This window comes from Homo sapiens, chromosome 16, assembly GCF_000001405.40.
Source record: "Homo sapiens chromosome 16, GRCh38.p14 Primary Assembly".
Lineage (NCBI taxonomy): Eukaryota > Metazoa > Chordata > Mammalia > Primates > Hominidae > Homo > Homo sapiens.
Genome location: NC_000016.10, coordinates 28,817,348 through 28,839,075, shown reverse-complemented (window position 1 = coordinate 28,839,075; position 21,728 = coordinate 28,817,348). Strand labels below are relative to the sequence as shown.

The following is a 21,728-nucleotide window of genomic DNA, read 5'->3' as shown; positions in this document are numbered from 1 at the left end:
GTGCCTAATTTAGAAACTAAACCTCATCATAGCTATAGGAAAAAACATAGTATACATAAGGTTTGGTACTATGGGCATCCACTGGGGATCTCAGATCACATCCCCCCCAGATGCGGGCGGACTGCTGTACAATCTGCAGTCCTTCCAGAAAGCATCAAAATGACTACTCAGCTGGGTGTGGTGGCTCACACCTGTAATCCCCAGCACTTTGGGAGGCCAAGGCAGAACTGCTTGAGCCCAGGAGTTCAAGACCAGCCTGGCCAACATAATGGGACTCTGTCTCTTAAAAAAAAAAAAAAAATTGAAAGATTACCCAGTAATACTTGCCATATTTCATAGTAGATACCTGTCTCTCCATCTACACTTCAAATATCCTGAGCCCAGCTGAAGCCTTGCAGCTCCTGCACCACCCCACATCTACCTGCTGAGTGCTCTTGGGACTCCAACCCCGCCCATTTTTAGCATCCAAGTGGCTACCACATAAAGTCCTTTTTTTTTTTTTTTTTTTTAACCTCTTTAATAACCCCTTCTCTCCACCCCACCATGTACACCTATTACCAAGTTCCAAATCTGCATATGCTGGGATTCTTCCCCAATACTGTAGCCTTCACTCTTCCTGTCCTGGTCTCAGCCAGCTTTCTCTGGCTTTGGTGAGAGCTGAAACACCCGTCTACCACTGAGCACCAGCCACTTCCTTAAAATCCTGGAAAGGTGAAATCACCTCCATTTTAGGCAAGGAAACCAAGGTCAAGTCTCCGAGAGAATTCTCAACCTCCTTGAAAAACTACCTCCTCTGGAGCCTGCTGTCATTTCCACATCCCATGCTTCAATCTTCTTGTCCCACCCATAATGCCTAATTTTGCTCTTGCTCCCCAGTAAGCCCAGTTCCCAACCAATCCTCTCCCCTCTTCTCCCACTAACAGCTTCACCTTTACAGCTCTCATCCACAGTCAGCTGCACATCCATCAGGATTTTAATTCCAATGACCATAAACATTCACCCTTCAACATAAAGAGGTGTATGTAATTCATGAGATACTCATATTAGAAATGAAACTTTGAATCACACCTTGAGATGAAGCCAAGTTCAAGATGAGAAAATAGTCACTAGACAGCTGGGTGAGCTATCTATGTAGCAGTTCCAGAGCCAGTCAGGGACAGCATCCTTGGGAACTGTGCCACTGCTGTCCCATCCTGGGAAGCGGACTCCCATCTCACGTGCTTTTAGCCATCCGGTCATCCAGAACCTCAGTCATCAACTACACAACTTCACATGAAGTCTGGAACCCACCTTCAAATGCATGGCACAGGATCCCGATCTGGCTCCCCATCATCCTAGATTTCAAAAACTGGCCACCATTGGTGTGCAATGGAGTGATCTCAGCTCACTGCAACCTCCGCTTCCTGGGTTTAAGTGATTCTCCTGCCTCAGCCTCCCAGGTAGCTGGGATTACAGGCATGTCCCACCACGCCAGGCTAATTTTTGTATTTTTAGTAGAGACAGGGTTTCACCCGAGTTCAAGTGATTCTCCTGCCTCAGCCTCCCAAGTAGCTGGAATTACAGGCATGTCCCACCACATCTGGCTAATTTTTGTATTTTTAGTACAGATGGGGTTTCACCAAGTTGGCCAGGATGGTCTCCATCTCTTGACCTGGTGATCTGCCCACCTCAGCCTCCCAAAGTGCTGGGATTACAGGCGTGAGCCACCATGGCTGGCCACTGGACACGATTTTTACATGGAGGTGAAGGAACAGGTCACAATGCAGCACCTATCAATGCCACAAAAGACTGACAGCTGTCACCCCACTCTAGTCTCCAAGGAGGAAACTCCAGGCAGGTTAAGTTAGTTTAAAATTTTATTTTTTTTATTTATTTTTTAATATTTTTATGTAATAAAAAGTAAAAGTCCTTGTCCAGCCATCCTCGTGGGGCATCTGTCTGTCTCTCACACAGGTCACTCAAGTTAATGGGAAAGAAAGAACAGGGGGCCCAAGTCTGAAGTTATAAATAATAGAAAATAAAAGATCTTCCGTCTCCAGCGGGGGAATAGATGAGAGGATGGGAGGGCAAGACTGGGTGGGGACGGGCAGGGGCAGAGCAGGAACCCCCCACCCCTGCTGGACCCTGGCCCTGCCCTCTGTGAGGCCCCTCCCATTCAAGGTGCTTGGCAGGAATTCCCCAGCTCCCCTGGGGAACGGGGGGATGGGGGGCTGGGAGTGGTCCGAGCTGCTGGGGGAAGAGACATAGATCACTCTTCCCTCCACTCATGGAGGTCTCAGGTCGCGGCCAGGACAATCTTCAGTTCCCCGGGGGGTGGAAGGGGAGCTGCTGGGAGGGATGAGATTGAACTGGTTGGAGGGGAAAGAGAAGAGAGCAGGAGCATTAGAACCCAAGCAGCTGTCCCTTCCTCCAATGCCGTCCAGTGGGGGCGTGGGGGTGTGTCTGGGAAGGAGCGGCCTCCTCAAGGTGTCTCGGGGGCTGTCAGAAGCACAGGTCAATCGCTGTTTCCCAGTAAGCCAGAGCCCTCACTCATGTGCCCAGCTCAGCCCCCCACACCCCAGTCTGGCCCTGTCTGCTGCACTGACCTTACCTCGGCTAAGTCAGGAGACAGTCGGGGTCACTGAGAGCTGGGGAGGCAGTGGGGAGGGGGGCTGCTGGATCACAACTGAGCGAGGACGGAGGGAAGCAAAGGACAGAGCCAGGAGCAAGCCCCTGGCGGCGGCGACTGTGGCTTCTGCCCACCCTACATACTTCACAGACAGGTGCAGGTCGGCGGGCGCCCTGTGGGACAGCCCTGCCTCCAAGACCCCTCACTCCCCACCCAGAACCCGTGCATCCTGCCCCACCTGCAGCCCCTCAGCTCTTCCATGCCAAATTCCCCCAGCTAATGAGAACTCACGAATCCTGTCATCGGCTCCTCCTGGAAATCCAGGCGCCTGGCCAGGCTGCTCACCTTGGGGGTGTCCGATGTAGGGGTAGGGTGAGGGTGTGGAAGCTGAGAGTGCAGGCACCCCACTCTGGGGCACCGCGCCTTGGGGGGGCCCCCCATGACTCTGGGGTGGGTGCAGCAGCATCACCTGGGGCGGGTGGGGAGCCCCAGGGTGAGGGGGCGGGGCTGCTGTGATTCCAGTTTGGACATGGGCCTGTGGAAAACAAAAAAGTAGCCGGGAAGACCACAGAATCCTGAAACAGACTCTGAGAGCCAGAGTTAGGGAGCACTATGGCAAGGGTGGCACCAGGGACTTGGCAATGGGATGGTCCCCATGGCAGACGGGCCCTGGCAAACAGACCCAGAAGTGGGACAGCTGGGCTCTTACCTGGGTAACATGGGCCATGTTGGTGAAGCCGTGGGGCAGCTGCTGGTGGTGGATGGCATACACAGCGGCTGGCTGGGGGAAGCTGCTCTGAGGGGACTGGGCAGAAGGTCCCGGTGGCAGAGAGGGCGGCGTGCCTGTCAGGGCCCCTGGGTGGTACAGATTCTGCTGTGGCTGTCCACTGCCCAAGTGTGGGGCCTGCCCCGCCTGATGCTGCTGGGGAGGGGAAGGTTGAGTGCCACACAGGCCAGCAACTCGCTGGCCCCCAGTCCTCGCCACTCAGAAATGACCCCTAGCTCTATCCCTTCTTCTGGCCACCCATTCCTGCACCAGGACCACTCAGCACCCCCCATGGCAGGCACCTGGACAGGACTGGGGGCCGCATGCTGGGACTGCGGCTGGCTTCCAGTAGGCGTGGTAGCCGGCTGCGGCTGGTGGGCATGGAGCTGTGTGGCATGGTGTGGGTAGGACTGGTGAACAGTGGCTGCAGCAGGAAAGAGGGAGAACCAGTGCTGAGCACACCAGAGGGGGCTGGCACACAGCCCAGAGCAGAGGGACCAGGCGCAGGACTCACCATAAAGGGCTTGGGGGGTAGGCTGCTCTGCAGAAGGGTACTGAGGGGTAGAGGATGACACGATGGCCTGGGGATGGCTGCCCGACGTCAGCATGCGTGGGTTGCTCTGAAGCATGGGGGCAAACACCGGCTGGCGGGACAGAGAGAGGAGTGGTTGGCACAGCCGCCAGCTGGGAAGGTGTCCTCCTGCCAGTCACTGCGTGCACAGCACCGCTTGGGCCTCCTCACAATCACCCTATTGATTCAACATTCATAACGATCCCACCCAGCAGACACTATTTTCTCTACACTTCAGAGATACAGATGTCCAATGCCTTGTTACAGGTACCACCAGAGCCAGGGCTCAAGCCCAAGTCTGACACCGCCAATACCACAGAGGGCCGATCCCACCTACAACACTGCCTGCCACCCCTAGCCAGCTCCCAAGTCTCTGGAGAAGATGGGATCCCTAGCAGGGGCCCTGGATCCTCACTGCCCTCCTGGGCCGCAGTCACCTGTGAGGGGTAGTGGGCCATGGGCTGCATCATGGCTGGCTGGCCTGGGAACTGCTGAGGGTTGTAGGGGATGTAGGAAGAATAGGGCGTGGCAGCCACCAGAGGCGGGCCAGCAGCCGCGGCGGCCTGCATCATCGGCGGGGCTGAGGCTGGCTGGTGTTGGTCCGAGCGCTGCGGAGGAAGGGAGCCTGGAAGAGGAGGAGGAGAGGAGAGCTCAAGCTCCACCTGCCAGTAGGCCCTTGGCAGCCTCGCCGCCTGCCCCTCCCAGCCCTGCTCACCTTTTGCTCCCCGGTACTTGCCCTGCTGCCCAGGCACTGAATTGGATACAGGATATGGATACATCTGAGGTGCCTGGGGATGAGGACACAGATGAGGCTGAATGACTCGCTCACGAATGCCCAGACAGGCCTGACCTGGTCCCTCAACCAGCGCAACCAAATCCCACCCCGCTAACCCTGGGCCCGGCCAGTCTCTCTGCATACCTGCACAGCTGGTCCCATGTGGATCTGAGGTATGTAGGAGATGTACTGGGGGCTGTATAGCCCACTCTGGCCTGCTGTCAGCACCGGGATGGAGGGAGTTGAATGAGTCCGGGGCCCCGGAGAAGTTGGGGTACTGGTGGATTTATTCTGCAAAAACAAGGGAGGACAATTTTATTTTGTATTTTCCCCTCTACTCCTGGCCATGCCTAGAGTGGTAATAATTAACATTCGTGAAATGCTGCATACCAAACATATTCTGCACTTATCTTGATAAAGCCTCACATTAAACCCTATGAGGAGATGAGTATTCTAAAGTTACAGGTGAGGCAGAGAATGTAAGTGACGTCCAAGATCACAAACCTTCCAAATACAGGGGCTCAAGCCAAGTCAGCTGGCCTCTGTTCATGACTACCCCACTCCAATACTCCCTCAGCCAAATGCCAAGAACCAAAGAAAAGCCTGTTAACCCCTCATCAGACTCACTGGGATCCCTGATCCCCTGATCACCCAAACCTAGAGACCTGAGTCCATTTTCCCCAAGCCAGCCCCAAAGGTGCCATCCTTACATTTTTATGACATCTCCTCACACTGCCTGCCAGGCAAGTGGTCCTGGAAGTGAAGTGTTCCTCCCCCTATTCATCTATAAGCACTGCCCAAGTCTCCCCACAGAAACCAAAGTCCACATTCTCCTGTCCCAGCTCACCACAGACAGCAGAGGCTTTGTAGGATTGAACTCCTTAGCATTAGGGTTCAACGTTGATTTCTTTACTTGTCTGTGAGAGAAAGTACAGTAAATCTTCACGGCTTGCTCTCATCCCTCCTGCCATCCTCCCAGAGCCCCACCCCGCTCCACTCACTCAGCAACAGGGCCCTCATCTTTGTCTTCTCCCTTGATGAGGCCCACCGGGGGGCTGCCAGTTTGGCTTGGACAAGGTGGTGGGGGCTGCTCTGGCCCCTCAGTGCCTCCTGATGGTGCCAGGGGTGGTTTGTCCTCCTTATCCGATACGGACTCTGTCTTGGAGGAGACGGGAGACCCCATGGGCTCTGAAGTCAACAGACCATCAACCTCTTTCTCCTTTCCTTTGGGCTCCTCCTTTAAGATCCGGGGAGGAAAAGGATCCAGGCTGTTCTCAGGGGAGCTACTGGGCTGAAGCTGGAAGAGAGAAACACACACAGTCCAGTCTGACCCAGACCCTAGTCCTGGCTTTCTTCTTTCATCCTTTTTTGATCTCATCTCTTTGACTCCTATCTAGTCCTTTGCCTCATCTACGAACCACTCCCAACCCCTTTACCCTGCTAATATCCCAGCTCACTCTTCTCTCACCTTAAACTGGGCCCCAAACTTTCTCAGTTCTTCCAGTTGGAATCGTTTCTGTTCATTCTGAAGACCAGGGACTATGAGAAAACAGTCAAAAAGAAGAAAATACAAAACATTCTTTCTCTAAGGTGGCTACACAGTGCCAAAAGAACAGAGGACAAGAAAGCAAAGAAAAAAGAGAAACTCTTGAGGATCACAGAAGTGAAATTATAATCCAAGGACTGATAGACATTGTTTGCCTCTGAATTCCAACAAACTTCCTAACTGAAATACTCTCCCCCAGACAAAGGAGCATTAATCCTCAGCAGAAAAAAAACCACCCTCACCTTTCCCAGCTATCCGAGCCAGCTCCTGGGGCTCCAGAGTTCTCCCAGGTTCCTTGGTAGAGAGTTCTTTTACTGTTCAAGTAAAGAGAAATGCCTAAAGGTCCTTCTGTCCAGAACCACAAATCACACTAAATATGCATTCACAGCACTCAAACACCTAGCTCTTACCATCTGTGGGGGCCAGGGAGATCTTTGGAGAAGCTGGAGAAATGGAGCCCACTCCAGGATCTGAGACTGATGAGGTCACAGGGATGGAGGCTGAAGAGGTTGGCACTGCCGAGCCGATGGGAGGCTCTGGACAGGAAGCTGAGATTGGGGCAGGGGCAGCAGACTTGGGAGAACGCGGGGGATACATCCGGCCCACTGGAAGAAAAGGGGGAGCTGTAGGATGGTTACTGCTGGTCAACAGCAGTGAGTACAAGGGCCTTACTCAAAACAGCAAGAAAGTTTACACACTATACAACCAGAGTCACCAACTTAAATGTCTAGAAGCTCAAGGCAGGTAACACAAGCAGGTAAATGGCCTCATGGGCATCATCGACAACTGGAATGCTTAAAGGAGTGGCAGGGATTCTGTTCCAGTCAACTCAAGCTACGCAGCAAGGCAAGCTCAGTTGACAGAATTTCCTGTAATTCAAAAGAAACTAAAAATTTTCTATGGCTTCTATTGATTTATTTATTTAGAGACAGGGTATCGCTCTGTTCCCCAGACTGGAGTGCAATGGTGTGATGCCATCTCACTGCAACCTCAGCCTCCTGGGCTCAAGCGATTCCCCCCACCTCAGCCTCGCAAGTAGCTGGGAGTACAGGTGCACGCCATCAAGCCTAGCTAATCTTTTTATTTTTTGCAGAAGGGTTTTGCCGTGTTGCCCAGGCTGGTCTTAAACTCCTGGGCTCAAGCAATCTGCCTACCTCGGCCTGTTTTAAAAAGTTAGCAACTGGCAGGGTGTGGTGGCTCACGCCTGTAATCCCAGCACTTTGGGAGACCAAGGTGGGAGGATCACAAGGTCAGGAGTTCGAGATCAGCCTGGCCAACATAATAAAACCCCGCTTCTACTAAAAATACAAAAAAATTAGCCAGCCGTGGTGGTGGGTGCCTGTAATCCCAGCTACTTGGGAGGCTGAGACAGGAGAATGGCTTGAATCTGAGGGGTGGAGGCTGCAGTGAGCTGAGATGGCGCCACCGTACTCTGGCCCAGGCAACAGTGCAAGACTCCGTTTCAAAAAAAGAAAAAAACAAAACAAAACAAAACTTAGCAACTGATTCAAATCTAAACAAAAGATGTCTGCCAAGCAGACACAACCCATGGATTGCTAGGTTGAGATTTCTGCACTAGGGAAATCGAAGAACTATTTCCCAATATGACTAAATCCCAAATGCCCAAAACATCTATCTTAAAATTATCTCCCATTCCAGCACTGTAACAAATGGACATATTTACATCTCTTTACAAATTTCCATCCATTTCTTCATCCAACACTACTAAAGCTTTACCTGCAGGAGGAGGTGGAACAGAAGTTTCTCCAGAAGGCCTATTACTGGGCGAAGACAGAGTCTTGGCACCTCTCAGAGGCCGTTGTGCCTTTGGGGACATGCGGGAAGGGCCTGTTTGGTTTTTTTTTTTTTTTTTGAGAAGAAAATGTCAGGAGGCAGACGACCTATTACATTCCCACCGATGCAGCGTCATTCCAACACACCCAAACCCCTCCAATTACCCTCCCACCTCCTTGGCATCCCCTTCCCTGCCCTCTTCCTCAAAGTCACCTCATAACTCACCTCCATTGATACCACGGGCCTCAGAACCTGGGCCAGGGCTGCTGTTGTCCAGATGGTGAGGGCCACGAGGTGGCAAAGAGCTAAGGCCAGGCCGACCGCCCCGAGAGCTGCTGCATCGAACTCCTCCCCGGGGACCTTCCCGGACTCGTTGAGGCAGAGGGATATACTTCCCCTCCCTGAGGAAAGAGTTCAAATAAGGCCAGGTAGCCACAAAACCCACGTTTTGGAAAGATGAAGCCATTTCTTCTTCTAAAGTCTCCCCCTTCTGCCCCCAAACATACACACACTGCCTGGCTCCAGCACCATCCCACTTGAAGATCTGCCCTAGTTTAACGTTCTGTGGCTACGGACTTATGACCTCATGTGACATCAACTCTGAGCCAACCAACCTGGCCAGTGCTCCACAATTCTACAACTCCTGACCTATGACAAAAGTAGGATCACACCGTAGTTCCAGGGATAGTTTTTAAAAGACACAAATAATGTAGTTATATTTCACTTTTATAAAAAGAAATAGCACATAAATTTTGAATTTTTTTTTTTTAGATCTACAAGCTCCAGCTTTGTTACTTTAGGCAAATTACATAATCTCGCTTTACCTCAACCTCCTAAACCTGTGTATGACATTTTACATGGTCACAAGGCTTAAACCACAGCACTCATCAACTCTGGGCCCAGGCCCCAGGATATTCCCAGAAGCCCCAAGTAGTCCTGGCTGTTTGCAACAGTCACCTGGATGCCAAGCTGGGGCTCTCCCGCCCTGAGCCCTGCCGCTGGACTGCACTGTGCTTCTCCTCTTCAGTGCGCCCATCGTCGTTCTCCATGGCGATCCGTAGGCGGTACTGGGGGCTTGATTCAATCTCTCGAGCCAACTGGGCCGCACGCAGCTCTCGCTGACGAAACTCTTCTGAGTTGTCCTTTTCTAAGGGCACCCTGAGACAGCACCCACAGACCACCACCATCCCAGTGCCAGGGGACAAAAGAGGAAAAAAGGAAAAACATTTCAACAAGTCCAATCACCAGTTCAGGCATGGAAGTATTTAATCCCTTCAACATCTGGGTAACGGGCACCGACTGCATCCCAGGTAGAGCACCAAGGCTTATCTGGGAATGTGAGAAGCACTTAAGACGCTTAAAACCTTTGAGGGAAGAATTCCACAAGGCAGAGTAGGAGTAGGGATGGCGACCCTGGACACCCAGAGAAAAATGAGCAAAAACTATGTTCTACCTGGAAACCTGTCTTCACTTAGTGACCCCATATCACCAACACATCACCTGGAGAGCACCAAGATACTCACGTATAAGAAGAAAGACTGCTATCATAGGTAGTCTTCACACCGTAGTTCTCCTCATTGAACTTGAACATTTCATTGGGGTCCCATCCATTGGACTGGGGAGGGAGGAAGGTGGTTTTAAAACCCAGCAGGAAAAGCAACGACAAGTCACTTCCCTTCCATCAGGTTAAAAACTCCAAGATGTGAACAAATTGGCTGGGCACAGTGGCTGAAACCTGTAATCCCAGTACTTTGGGAAGCTGAGGCAGGAGGCTCTCCTGAGGCCAGGAGTTTAAGGCCAGACTGGGCAACACAGCAAGAGCTCATCTCTAGAAAAAAATAATGAAACAGCCGGGTGTGGTGGTGCATGCCTGGGGTCCTAGCTACTCGCTACTCAGGAGATTGAGGAGAGAGGATCACTTGAGCCCAGGAGTTTGAGGCTGCAGTGAATTATTATGGCACCACTGCGCTCTGGCCTGGGCGACTAGCTGGGCGTGGTGGCTCATGCCTGTAATCCCAGCACTTTGGGAGGTGGGTGGATCACCTGAGGTCAGGAGATCAACCTGACCAACATGGTGAAACCCCGTCTCTACTAAAAATAAAAAATTAGCCATCCGTGGTGGCGCATGCCTGCAGTCCTGGCTGAGGCAGAAGAATCGCTTGAACCTGGGAGGCAGAGGTTGCAGTGAGCTGAGATCGAGCCACTGCACTCCAGCCTCCAGCCTGAGTGACAGAGTGAGACCCTGTCTCCAAAAAAAACAAAAACAAAAACAAAAACAAACAACTACAACAAAAACCCGGGCAACAGAGCAAGCTCGTCTCAAAAATAAACGACAAAACAAGAGTGGAAAAAAAATTGGAACGTGGCTGGCAAAAGTAATCAACTAATAATTGTAATTAATAACTGCAATTTTTTTTTTTTTTTTGGAGACAAAGAGTTTCACTCTTGTTGCCCAGGCTGGAGTGCAATGGTGCGATCTTGGCTCACCGCAACCTCCGTCTCCTTGGGTTCAAGCGATTCTCCTGCCTCAACCTCACGAGTAGCTGGGATTACGGGCATGTGCCACCACGCCCAGCTAATTTTGTATTTTTAGTAGAGATGGGGCTTCTCCACGTTGGTCAGGCTAGTTCCAAACTCCCAACCTCAGGTGATCTGCCCGCCTTGGCCTCCCAAAGTGCTGGGATTACTGGTGTGAGCCACCGCGCCCGGCCTGCAACTGTTAATGATTACTAACAACTGCAGCAGAAATTATCAATAACTAGTAAACCTGAAAAGTCATAAGACCTAACAATTCTATTTCCAAGACATCCCAGAAAAATTCTGGCACATGTGCGTGGGGAATATATGTTCTAAAAGTCCAGCAAGGTACTATTTTTAGTAGCAAAATAATGGCAACCAAATGCAGATGATTAAGGAAAAGGACAAATACAATTTGCTGTGTACACGTGTGTGTGTATATTTGAAAACAGCACACAACAATAGAAGCAAAGAACTAGATCTACGTACAACCATGAGAAGTTCGAAAAGGCAAGAAAAGCAAATTCTTGTACAAACTAAACATAACAAAACAATAATATATTCATTCACAAGACATTTGTTTCTCAACAGATAGTCTCGCTATGATGCCCAGGCTGGAGCACAGTGGCCATTCACAAGTTGAGTCATAGTGCACCAAAGCTTCAAATGATTCTCCTACCTCAGCCTCCTGAGTAGCTGGGACTACAGGTGTGGGACCACCACGCTCAGCTCTATTCATGAGCGGTTTTTATTTATTTTTTTGAGACATCCTCACTGTCGCTCAGACTGGAGTCCAGTGGCACAATCTCAGCTTACAGCAGCCTCAAACTCCTGGGCTCAAGTGATCGGAGCTCCTGCCTTGGCCTCCCAAGTAGCTGGGACTACAGGCATGAGCCACTGCGCTCAGCCTCATGAGATTTTAAATGCCTCAGAGTAGCTGATTTTGGGAAGAGAAATGGGCCTACACATTAATCTATACTTTTTGTTATGTTGAAAAATAACGTGATGCAAATGCTAGGAGTGGTTAATTATAGATAGTAAGAGAGTAAGTTGATGTTTTGGTTTTGTTGCGTGTGACACGGTCCACCCAGGCTGGAGTGCAGTGGTATGATCACAGCTCACTGTAGCCTCGACCTCCCTGGGCTCAAGTGATCCTTCCACTTCAGCCTCCCAAGTAGCTGGGACTACAGGTACATGCCACCAAACCTTGATAGCTTTTATATATCTTGTTGAGACAGGGTTTCACCATGTTGCCCAGACTGGTCTCGAAATCCTTGCCTCAAGTGACCCACCGGCCTTGGCCTCCCAAAGTGCTGGGATTACAAACATGAGCCACTGCACCCAGCTAAGAATAGATATTTTTACTTTGCTATTTTCTATACCTTTCTATTTGTTATCTGACTACCATCAATGGGCAACAGTAAATATTTCCCTCCCCACTCAAATGAACCTCACTGTCAACAACCCATTCTGTCTGTCCAGCTCCCAAGTTCTCAGGGAAGGAGGCTATACCATGTCAGACTCGAGGTCATAGTCGTCGCTGTTGCTGTCACCCCCCTCCCAGCGCTGAAGCACCTTCTCTTTGTGTTCCCCATTCACTTTCGAGTTCATGGCAATGGCTGAATCGGTGAACTTGTCTGTGGGGGCAGAGGTGAAGATCAGGAGTCAGGCTATATTTCACAGACTTCTTTCCAATATCCCCCAACCCCACTCTCCGTAAGTAGTTCAGGAACAAAGTTTAAGAAGTCCAGAGTACGTGTGCCCGTGTGTTAGGATGGCCAGGGGGTGGGGAGGCAAGAGAAGAAGAGTATAAAAAGTCTATCAGTACTATGATTCCAAAGAAAAAAGAAGTTAAAAACCAAGCAAAGAAAATATGAAGAACCACAACACAGACAGGAATTCATCGCATTATATATTAGACATCAAGACATATTTTTAAGAAGAAAAATCCACCCACTTCGCTCAGGAAAAAAAAGGCATTAAAGCAAAACAAACAAACAAAAACAAAAAAACAAACCAAACACATCACCATGTTCCACCTGCACACAAACTACCCTCTGTCCTCTATGCACACAGAGCAGGTCTGAGGTAACAGCCTAGGACAATACCTTTAGTAGCATAGTTGAAGTCAACATTTCGGAAGTGAACAAGCATGACATCACTTGGCTTAAACACCATGGTGTCCACAATGTCCTCCCGACGAGGGCCACCTGCTGGCTCAGATGCTTTCCGGTGCACAGCATCCACGGCTAGTTCAAACTACAAACACCCCATTCCCCACACCCATGGGTCAGTTTCAAGAAAAGTGAAGGCAAAAATAGAACTGGATTTCTCTTAAATAGAACTGGATTTCTCTTACCCTTCCCAAACTTTTCACAACACTACATCCTCAACATGCTTGGAACCAAGTGCATTGTTTTCTCAACATCAGCCACAGGACTTAGCAAAAGTCTCACAAAAATTTAAACTTAAATATTTTAACATTAAAGTACCCAGCCCTCAAATTTGTCTTTTTTCCCTGCAGCACTATTCAGCACAGGCCTACAGAAACAACTAAAGGCATACTCTGACATCACCCAATTGACACCTTCAATGAGCCTATTTCATTCTCCTCCTACTCTGCAACTCCAAAAATAATTAAATTTGAGTACACTGACCTTTGAGCTTAGCGTCTTGAAGATACCCTCATAAGTGGTACCATTTTTCACCTTTACATCACAAGTGGAGCCCTGGCAGAGTGGGAAAAATAAGAAGAGTGTCTCCAGAAAGTAGATGCATTACGTTCCTTAAACAACCCGGGGGTTAAGTACCAACTTACCACAACAGCTGTAAGGAAATGCAGCATTCTGGAATTGTTGTAGACGCCTTCAAACACCTGTCAGTTAACATAAGAGGGAGAATTAAAGGAGTAATCAGTCAACACCTCATTTTCTTTTCTAAATGCCCGCCGCACTCTACTCATTCTGCCTTGTGTGTGCCGGGCCCACAGCCCTCCTGAGTACATTAGACTCTATCTAGACCTAATGTGCCCTATATTCCCACATTATGCATCTTTTAGGTCTATGTATCTTAAACAGGGTGGGAGAAGACACTCACAGGTGACTGTGGGGGTCCCTTTCCTGTGCTCTGTCCCCTATAAAAGAAAACAAGAAATTACTTAAGTCTGTTCAAGCCCTCTTAGACCACTATGAAATTAATGTTAAATCCTAGAAGTATATACCACCTGATGATGCTGATTTAGACTACAAAATTGTTAATCAGTAAGATTTTTCTATTTTTTTTGAGACAGGGTCTCCCTCTGTTGCCCAGGCTGGGGTGCAGTGGCGTGATCTCAGTTCACTGTAGCCTCAACCTCCAAGGCTCAAGTGATCTTCCTGCCTCAGCCTCCCGAGTGGCTGAGACTATAGGTACGAACCACCACTCCTGGCTTTTTTTTTTTTTAATTTTTAGTAGAGATGGGATTTCCCATCTGTGTTGCCCAGGCTGGTATCGATCTCCTTGGGCTCAAGGGATCCTCCCACCTTTGCCTCCTAAAGTGCTGGCATTACAGGCGTGAGCCACTGCGCCCGGCCAATAAATAAGATTTTCAAACTGTCACCTTGTAGAGGAAGAAAAAAATAGACATTAATAAGCCAGCAAACACATTTCCTCCAAATGCCAGCAAAAAGATCTCAATCAACAATGGTTGTCAATTGCTCTAAGAACCAACGAGAAAGGGGCTAGGGCTGCAGGCTACCAACAGATCAATGCTACAGTATTAACCAAAAAGCCACGCCAGCTGTGAGGGCAAAAGCTCCAGGAGTGCAGCTTTGGAACTACCTAGCTCAGGTACATTACCTCCCAAACAGAAAAGACAATCATTTTCAGCAGCCTGACGCCTCAAAACTGTGGGAGGAGGGGTATCCCCTCCACACCCCATCCCCTCGACCTCATGACTCATTCAGCCCGTTACCCACTCTGCGGGGATCACCAATCGCCAGGTAACCCTGCTCGTCGCTGGCTGATGTAACCGGCGGTTGAGGGCGAAGAGGGGGCCGCTGGCGGGGCTGGGGGACAGCGCAGCCGCAAAAGCCATCCACCGGGAGGCCTCGCCCGGTCTGCGCCTGCGCACTAAAACCCACGGGACTTTCCGAACCCCCACCTCCAGCGATCAGAGCCCACTGCGCCTGCGTGTGCTGCCACTCTTAATTCCATTAACACACACACACTCGCACAGGAAAAACTGAGCAGGGCCTCCACTACTCATGCACTGCCACCAGACGAGCCCCTCCACGAACTAGTCCCTGCCCTAGGTGTTCCCGGGGCGCGCGAATGCCCGGGTCATGAGACCGAGCATCCACGCGCACGTACGGGAAGGGGGCGCGCGCGCCAGAGGCTCCCGGCCCGCAGTCCTCCCAGTCATCCCTCCTTCCGTCCCCCCGCCCACCTCGCTCCCCTCCTACTGGCCAGACCGGGAAGGGGGAGGCAGCAACCCGCTCCCAAGTCCCTCCCTCCCCATTGGCCAAACTGTGGGCCGCGCGCCCCCCTCCATTGGCTACGGCCGGGGACCCCTTCCCGCAGCAGACTCCCCATTGGCTGAAGCCGGGGACCGCGAGACCCTTCGTGGTAATGGAACCGGGGACCCCGATCAGCTCCTTGCCCCCCCCCAACTCCCCGTTCCGACGGCGCCGGCGGGATGCGCCCCGCCTCCCCTGAAGGCCGGGGCTGCGAGCCCTGACTAGGCCCCGAGAGCCGAGCGCGGCCCCTCAGTGCTCCGGTGGCCGCCCGGGGACCCTTTCCGTCCGACCTGTTCGGACCTGAGGGGGCCCTCCCCCAGCTTCACGGGGACTCCCCACCCAGCCGGTGCCCCTGACGGTGCCGGGTCGGGGTCCGCCCCACCGGAACCGAGCCACAGCCTCTGGGTGGCCGCGGCTCCCTCGCCCGGAGCCCACCCTTCTCACCTGGCGCTGCCGATGGCGGCTGCCCCCGGCCTCTCCTGGTGTTGCTGCGGCGGCGGCGGCTGCGGCGCCAAGATGCCTTCGGCTCCCCGGCGGAGCCCGCTCCCGGCAGCGGCCACAGGCCCCAGGCAGGGGGAGGCGGCCGCTGGAGGCCCGGGAGGAGCCGCAGAGGTGGCCAGCGGCCCCGGGAGGCCGCCGTTGGGAGGGCTGGTGCCCCCGGGGGGCCGACGGGCCACGGCCTGTTGCGTGGGGGGCGGCTGCTGGGGCTGGGAGGGCTGTTGTAGCGGCTGAGGCTTCAACATGATGGCAGCGTCCGGAAGGGGAATTAGAGAGAAGGGAGGGAGAGAGGGGGCCGGGGCTGGGGCCCCGCTGGAGAGCGCGGGAAGCGAGGGGGATCGGGCAGCCGGGGCCCGCCGTGGGCGGGCGGGGGGAGCCCCGCGGTGTCGGGGGTGGAGAGAGAAGACCGCGGCGCGAGGAAGCGCCGCGAGGCGGAAGGGGAGGGGGTCTCGCGGCTGGAGGAAAGCGAGAGGGCGCGAGCCGGGCTGGCGCGCGTGCGCGTCGCCGGGGAGCGGAGAGGGAGGAGCGCGCGGGTGGGAGCTCCCGGGGGGGGGGGGGGGGGGGGGGGGCCAGGAGCGAGCAGTGGCGCGAGGTGCCGCGCACACCGGCGCGGTTAGCTCCCGGCGGGAAAGTGGGAGAGAATCAAGTCGGTGAACCTCGCACCCCTAGCCCTGGGAGTGGGTAAGGAGCGGCGCGGGCGCTCACGCGCGCCAAGGATTTAGGGTCTTAAGGTCTCAAACCGCCTTAGAAGCCGGCGGCCGCTGTCGCTTCACAATGAGCGTGTGAGGCGCAGGGGGAGGAGCCGAAGGCGCCAGAGGAAGGGCCGGCCTCTCCGCCCACGCCGTCGCTGCGTCGCGATGCCTCCGCGGGAGTGTGAGGCGGCACGTCGTGCGTGAGGCTCTTCCGCCACTTGGCGGCCCGTGGGCAGAGCCTTAAGTGCCAAGAAAGTCTCCGGGACTGGACCACCCGAGCCACTGCGCTTTTAGGCAGGTGGTAGGTTTCGCAAGGAGCTACCCTCCACCTTGTTTGCTTTAAGTAAAAGACTGATGAGCATTAGTGATTCGTTTGAGCGTGTTGATCTTTGCAGATAAATTTACGCCTCGTCCTAAATTATTTCAGATTTTTGTGATTTTGACCTAAATTGTTCCTCCATGCCCGAGAATGAATCTTTAAACTGTAATAACAAAGACTGAAGGCCAAAGTTCCGAGTTCAAAATCCTCCACCCGACCCTGCAATGAAGGCAGCTTCATTCATTCAAAATGAGTTGGGCATTGGAGTATTCAGTTAGTTGTTTTGGACACAAGGATAATTAAACTGCTTCCTGCTCTGGAGGAGTTCATGCTAGTGGTGAATTCAGAGAATTTGACGAGATCTAGTAGGTGAAGCACAGAGGACTACAAGAGCAAATGGGAGTGACACCTAATCTTAATCCAGTTTTGGGAGACCCAGATAAGGGACAGGAGGGCCGGGCGCAGTGGCTCATACCTGTAATCCTAACATTTTGGGAGTCCGAGGCAGAAGGATCGTTTAAGGCCAGGAGTTTGAGACCAGCCTAGGCAACAAAGTGAGACTTTGTCTCTACAAAAAAAAAAAAATTTAAATTATAAAAAAAAACTGATAAGAGGGCAGGGGGAGATGGGTTTCTAGGCAGGGAAATAGGATATGACAAACTAAGAAAAACTCAGCTTGTCCTAAGCATAAAATTAAAGGGGGGAAGAGGTAGCTAATCTGGGATCAGGTTTTAAAGGCTCCCAAGTCTTGTAAGAGACACGGACATTATCCTCAAAGCAGTGGGGAGCTTATTTAAGAAAGTGAAAAGAGGCTGGGCATGGTCTGTAATCCCAGTACTTTGGGAGGTTTGAGGTCAGGAGTTTGAGATCAGCCTGGCCAACATGGTGAAACCCTGTCTCTACTAAAAATGCAAAAATTAGCTAGGCGTGGTGGTGCATGCCTGTAATCCCAGCTACTCAGGAGGCTGAGGCAGGAGAATCACTTGAACCAAGGAGGCGGAGGTTGCCGTGAGCCCAGATCGCACCACTGCACTCCAGCCTGGGTGACAGAGCAAGACTCCTTCCCCCCAAAACAAACAAAAAAACAAGTGAAAAGAGGTCAGATTTGCATTTTTAAAGGTTTACTCTTTGCAACGTGGAGAATGGAGTGGAGCTGTTAAGTCCATGTGGTCTTAATCCCAGCGAAACTCTCAATGTCTCAATCTCTTCGCTCTAAATGTTAGCATTGGAACTCTTCCCAGCCCCTGCACCAAACACATGCACACCTAGCTACAACACTGCCTTACTTTTTGGGTAATAGTCCTTCGCCCTGCCTCGCTCCTGCCTTCAGATGTGCTAGTTTCCCCTCCTGTGTGCTCGCCGAGCAATTTATCCCACTGTATTCTAACAGCTCCTTTAATTCTGTCTTCCTGCTAATGTCAGCTCCCTAAGGGTTAGGATCTTGACTTATTTCTTGCTCTGCAGTACTCTAGCACACTGCAGGCACTCAATGAAATATCTGTAAGGTGAGTGGATCCAAATGATGTTTTTTTGTTTGTTTTTGAGATGGAGTTTTGTTCTTATTGCCCAGGCTGGAGTGCAATGGCGCGATCTCGGCTCACCACAACCTCCGCCTCCCGGGTTCAAGCGTTTCTCCTGCCTCAGCCTCTTGAGTACCTGGGATTACAGTCATGCACCACCACACCCGGCTAATTTTGTATTTTTAGTGGAGACGGGGTTTCTCCATGTTGGTCAGGCTGATCTTGAACTCCCGACCTCAGGTGATCCACCCGCCTCGACCTCCGAAAGTGCTGGGATTACAGGCATGAGCCACCACGCCCAGCCCAAATGGTGTTTTAAAGGTCATCATGTCTCCTGGGTTCCCTAACAAACACAGTCCAGCTTTTTCCTGGCATTACCTGGACCACCTGATGCCATGCCACCTCTCTACCCTCATTGACAGATTGTGAGCACTGAGCACTCTAACCCCCTTCCATCTACCCCATCCTGCTCCACACTCAAATTCTGAGTTTTAGCCCCATGAAACTTCTTTCTCCATAGCTTGCCTTGCCCTTGCTAGTGGCAGCTAATTTGCATGGGGTCTACAGCAACCTCAATTCTTGCCTCCTCAGAAGAAAGAATTCCACCAAGGGGCATAAGGCAGAGGGAGAGACAGAGGCAAGTTTTAGAGCAGGAGTGAACGTTTATTAAAAAGTTTTAGAGCAGGAATGAAAGGAAGTAAAGTACACTTGGAAGAGGGCCAGGCGTGAATGACTTGACAGATTCAAGTCCCTGGTTTGACCTTTGACTTGGGGTTTCATATGCTGGCATGCTTCCAGGGATTTACGGTTTGCATCTCTTCTCCCCTGATTCCTACCTTGGCATGGGCTGTCCACATGCACGGTGGCCTGCCAGCACTTGGAGGGGCCACAAGCACAGTGTGTTCAGTATACTGAAGTGCACATGCTCACTTAAGACGTTCTTCCCTTACAGATCTAGCATTCCTGGAGGAAGGGCATGTACCATTAAACTCCGCCATTTTGCCTCTTGGTGCATAAGCTTGAGCCCATTTACCCAACTTCTGAGATCTTATCGAGAAGCTGCTGATCATCAGTTTCAAGTGTTTTCCATCTATTTGGAGACTGCCTTTCCCTGGTGCTGGCTGCAACCAATTACTATTTTAGAGACAAGTTTAACAACCACCTGACCATCACCTGATGGTTGCCTAACATTCCTGGTGGTGGGGTTGGGGCAGCACTCCTGCCCCAACAATGGGAATGTTGTCTTATCGTGTGCAATTTAAAAATTATATCACTATGGCCAGGCTCAGTGGCTCACGCCTGTAATCCCAGCACTTTGGGAGGCCGAGGTGGTTGGATCGTGAGGTCAGGAGTTCGAGACCAGCCTGGCCAATATGGTGAAACCCCGTCTCTACTAATAATACAAAAATTAGCTGGGTGTGGTGGCTCACGCCTGTAGTCCCAGCTACTCGGGAGCCTGAGGCAGAAGAATCGCTTGAACCCGGGAGGTGGAGGTTGCAGTGAGCCAAGATCATGCCACTGCACTCCAGCCTGGATGACAGAGCCAGACTCCATCTCATAAAAAAAAAAAAAAAAAAAAAAAGAAAAGAAAAAGAAAGCAAACTTCAAAAGACTGTGCTACCTTTTGTATACTGTGCTACCTTTTGTATAAGGAAGAAGGGGAAATATGAAGACATAAATGTATCTGCAGGTTTTTGCCAAGAAAAACAAAGTATAAACCAGAAACTCATCAAATTGATTACCTGTGATGGGGGGATGGGGGAAAATGAGGATTGCTTGAGCTCAGGAGGTCCTGGCTGCAGTGAGCCGTGATCTCGCCACTGCACTCCAGCCTGAGCGACAGAGCGAGACCCTATCTCAAAATAAAAACAAAACAGACAGTATGGGGAAAATTGATAAATTTGGAATATAGACTACAAAGTATTGCATCCATGATAAATTTCCTGAATGTGTTATGACTCTACTGGAGATATGGAAGGATGTATTCTTTTTTGTGGTTGTTGAGACAGGGTCTCGCTCTTGTCACCCAGGCTGGAGTGCAGCAGTGGGGTCTTGGCTCAATGCAGCCTCCACCTCCCAGGCTCAAGAGATCCTCCCACCTCAGTCTCCCAAGTAGTTGTGGCTGGAACTATAGGTGTGCACCACCACGCCCAGCTAATTTTTTGTTTCTTGGTTTTTTTTTCTTTTGGTAAAGATGGGGTTTTGCTGTGTTGCCCATGCTGGTCTTGAACTGCTGGCCTCAAGCTATCCACCTGCCTCTGCCTCCCAAAGTGTTGGGATCACAGATGTGAGCCACCATGTCCGGCCAGGGTGTTTTTTTGTTTTGTTTTGTTTTTTGTTTTTTGAGACAGAGTCTCCCTCCCTCTTGTCACCCAGGCTGCAGTGCAGTGGTGAGATCCCAGCTCACTGCAACCTCCGCCTCCTGGGTTCAAGTGATTCTCCTGCCTCAGCCTCCCGAGTAGCTGGGATTACAGGCGTGTGCCACCACGCCTGGCTAATTTTGTATTTTTAGTAGAGAGGGGGTTTCTCCATGTTAGTCAGGCTGGTCTTGAACTCCTGACCTCAGGTGATCCACCCTCCTTGGCCTCCCAAAGTGCTGGGATTACAGGCGTGAGCCACTGCGCCCGGCCTAATTTTTGTATTTTTAGTAGATACGGGGTTTCACCACATTAGCCAGGCTGGTCTTGAACTCCTGACCTCAAGTGATCTGCCCACCTTGGCCTCCCAAAGTGCTGGGATTACAGGCGTGAGCCACCAAGCCCAGCCCAGGGTATATTCTTAGTAAATATATAAAGAAGTATGATGGGGCAACAGAGTGTGATAGATGCAACCTACTCTCAAATGTTTCCAAAAGGCCAGGTGTGGTGGCTCATGCCTGTAATCTCAGCACTTTGGGAGGCTGAGGTGGGTGGATCATTTGAGGTCAGGAGCTCGAGACCAGCCTGGCCAACATGGTGAAACCCTGTCTCTACTAAAATACAAAAAATTAGCCAGGCGTAGTGGTGCGCGCCTGTAGTTCCAGCTACTCGGGAGGCTGAGGCAGGGGAATCGCTTGAACCCGGGAGGTGGAGATTGCAGTGAGCCGAGATCTTGCCACTGCACTCCAGCCTGGCAACAGAATGAGTCTCACACACAAACAAGGTTTCCAAAAAAAGCATATATATATATATATATATACACATACACACACATATATATGTATAATATACACACAGAAAGAGAAAATGCAAATGTGGCAAAATATTAACAACTGGTGAATCTGGGTAAATGTTATCCTGACGTTCTAGACTTTCCTGGAAACGCTAGCCTTTTAACATCTCTGTACATTTGAAATTGTTTCAAAATAAAGAATTTGAAGCCCAGGCATGGTGGCTCACACCTGTAATCCCAGCACTTTGGTAGGCCGAGGTGGGCAGATCACCCGAGGTCAGGAGTTCAAGACCAGCCTGAGCAACATGGATAAACCCCATCTCTACTAAAAATACAAAATTAGCTGGGCATGGTGGCGCATGCCTGTAATCCCAGCTACTCGGGAGGCTGAGGCAGGAGAATCGCTTGAACCTGGGACACAGAGGTTGCGATGAGCCGAGATCGTGCCATTGCACTCCAGCCTGGGCAACAAGAGT

General features: G+C 51.4%; 1 protein-coding gene and 1 long non-coding RNA gene across 74 annotated transcripts, besides 3 other annotated features; one reads left to right on the top strand and one right to left on the bottom strand.

The window, feature by feature from the left end:
- Positions 1 to 1,843: 1,843 nt before the first annotated feature.
- Positions 1,844 to 16,077, bottom strand: ATXN2L (ataxin 2 like). 73 transcript variants are annotated; one of them, XM_011545719.3, is made up of 24 exons: positions 15,518 to 16,077; positions 13,674 to 13,710; positions 13,396 to 13,452; positions 13,235 to 13,306; positions 12,686 to 12,836; positions 12,090 to 12,214; positions 9,584 to 9,675; positions 9,018 to 9,218; positions 8,286 to 8,461; positions 8,004 to 8,114; positions 6,677 to 6,889; positions 6,509 to 6,580; positions 6,189 to 6,259; positions 5,722 to 6,017; positions 5,568 to 5,637; positions 4,865 to 5,011; positions 4,661 to 4,733; positions 4,383 to 4,570; positions 3,889 to 4,018; positions 3,677 to 3,798; positions 3,318 to 3,530; positions 2,900 to 3,143; positions 2,586 to 2,750; positions 1,844 to 2,348 (listed from the first exon to the last, which is right to left on the bottom strand). In XM_011545719.3, exons 1-23 carry the CDS (start codon positions 15,814 to 15,816, stop codon positions 2,596 to 2,598), a joined length of 3,315 nt encoding a protein of 1,104 aa, XP_011544021.1. In that variant the 5' UTR covers positions 15,817 to 16,077; the 3' UTR covers positions 1,844 to 2,348; positions 2,586 to 2,595. The 73 variants fall into 73 exon arrangements, with proteins under 73 accessions (XP_011544021.1, XP_054184404.1, XP_047289485.1 ...); XM_054328429.1 differs by having other exon boundaries at positions 1,844 to 2,325; positions 2,591 to 2,750; XM_047433529.1 differs by having other exon boundaries at positions 2,586 to 2,627; positions 2,954 to 3,143.
- Positions 14,871 to 16,020: a silencer, noted in NCBI's record as "silent region_7313". NCBI's record gives its function as "represses an Ori minimal core promoter by ATAC-STARR-seq in GM12878 lymphoblastoid cells {active_cell/tissue: GM12878}" and the evidence as "EXISTENCE:reporter gene assay evidence [ECO:0000049][PMID:35858748]".
- Positions 15,034 to 19,985, top strand: LOC124903672 (uncharacterized). Its single transcript, XR_007065042.1, has 2 exons — positions 15,034 to 15,182; positions 19,055 to 19,985. It is a non-coding gene; the product is annotated as an uncharacterized LOC124903672 (long non-coding RNA).
- Positions 16,062 to 16,798: an enhancer, noted in NCBI's record as "H3K27ac hESC enhancer chr16:28833599-28834335 (GRCh37/hg19 assembly coordinates)". NCBI's record gives its function as "activates a minimal SCP1, AML or CMV promoter by ChIP-STARR-seq in naive H9 embryonic stem cells {active_cell/tissue: H9 hESC(naive)}" and the evidence as "EXISTENCE:reporter gene assay evidence [ECO:0000049][PMID:30033119]".
- Positions 16,341 to 16,550: an enhancer, noted in NCBI's record as "active region_10644". NCBI's record gives its function as "activates an Ori minimal core promoter by ATAC-STARR-seq in GM12878 lymphoblastoid cells {active_cell/tissue: GM12878}" and the evidence as "EXISTENCE:reporter gene assay evidence [ECO:0000049][PMID:35858748]".
- Positions 19,986 to 21,728: the final 1,743 nt, after the last annotated feature.

Excerpts from the sequence above, each read along its gene's own strand:
- ATXN2L (XM_011545719.3), bottom strand. The coding sequence starts at position 15,816 with ATGTTGAAGCCTCAGCCGCTACAACAGCCCTCCCAGCCCCAGCAGCCG. Across the intron at positions 9,219-9,583 it reads AGCAGTCTTTCTTCTTATAC|GGTGCCCTTAGAAAAGGACA; the intron begins GTGAGTATCTTG and ends GTGCTGTCTCAG. Across the intron at positions 4,571-4,660 it reads CAAGTACCGGGGAGCAAAAG|GCTCCCTTCCTCCGCAGCGC; the intron begins GTGAGCAGGGCT and ends CTCCTCTTCCAG.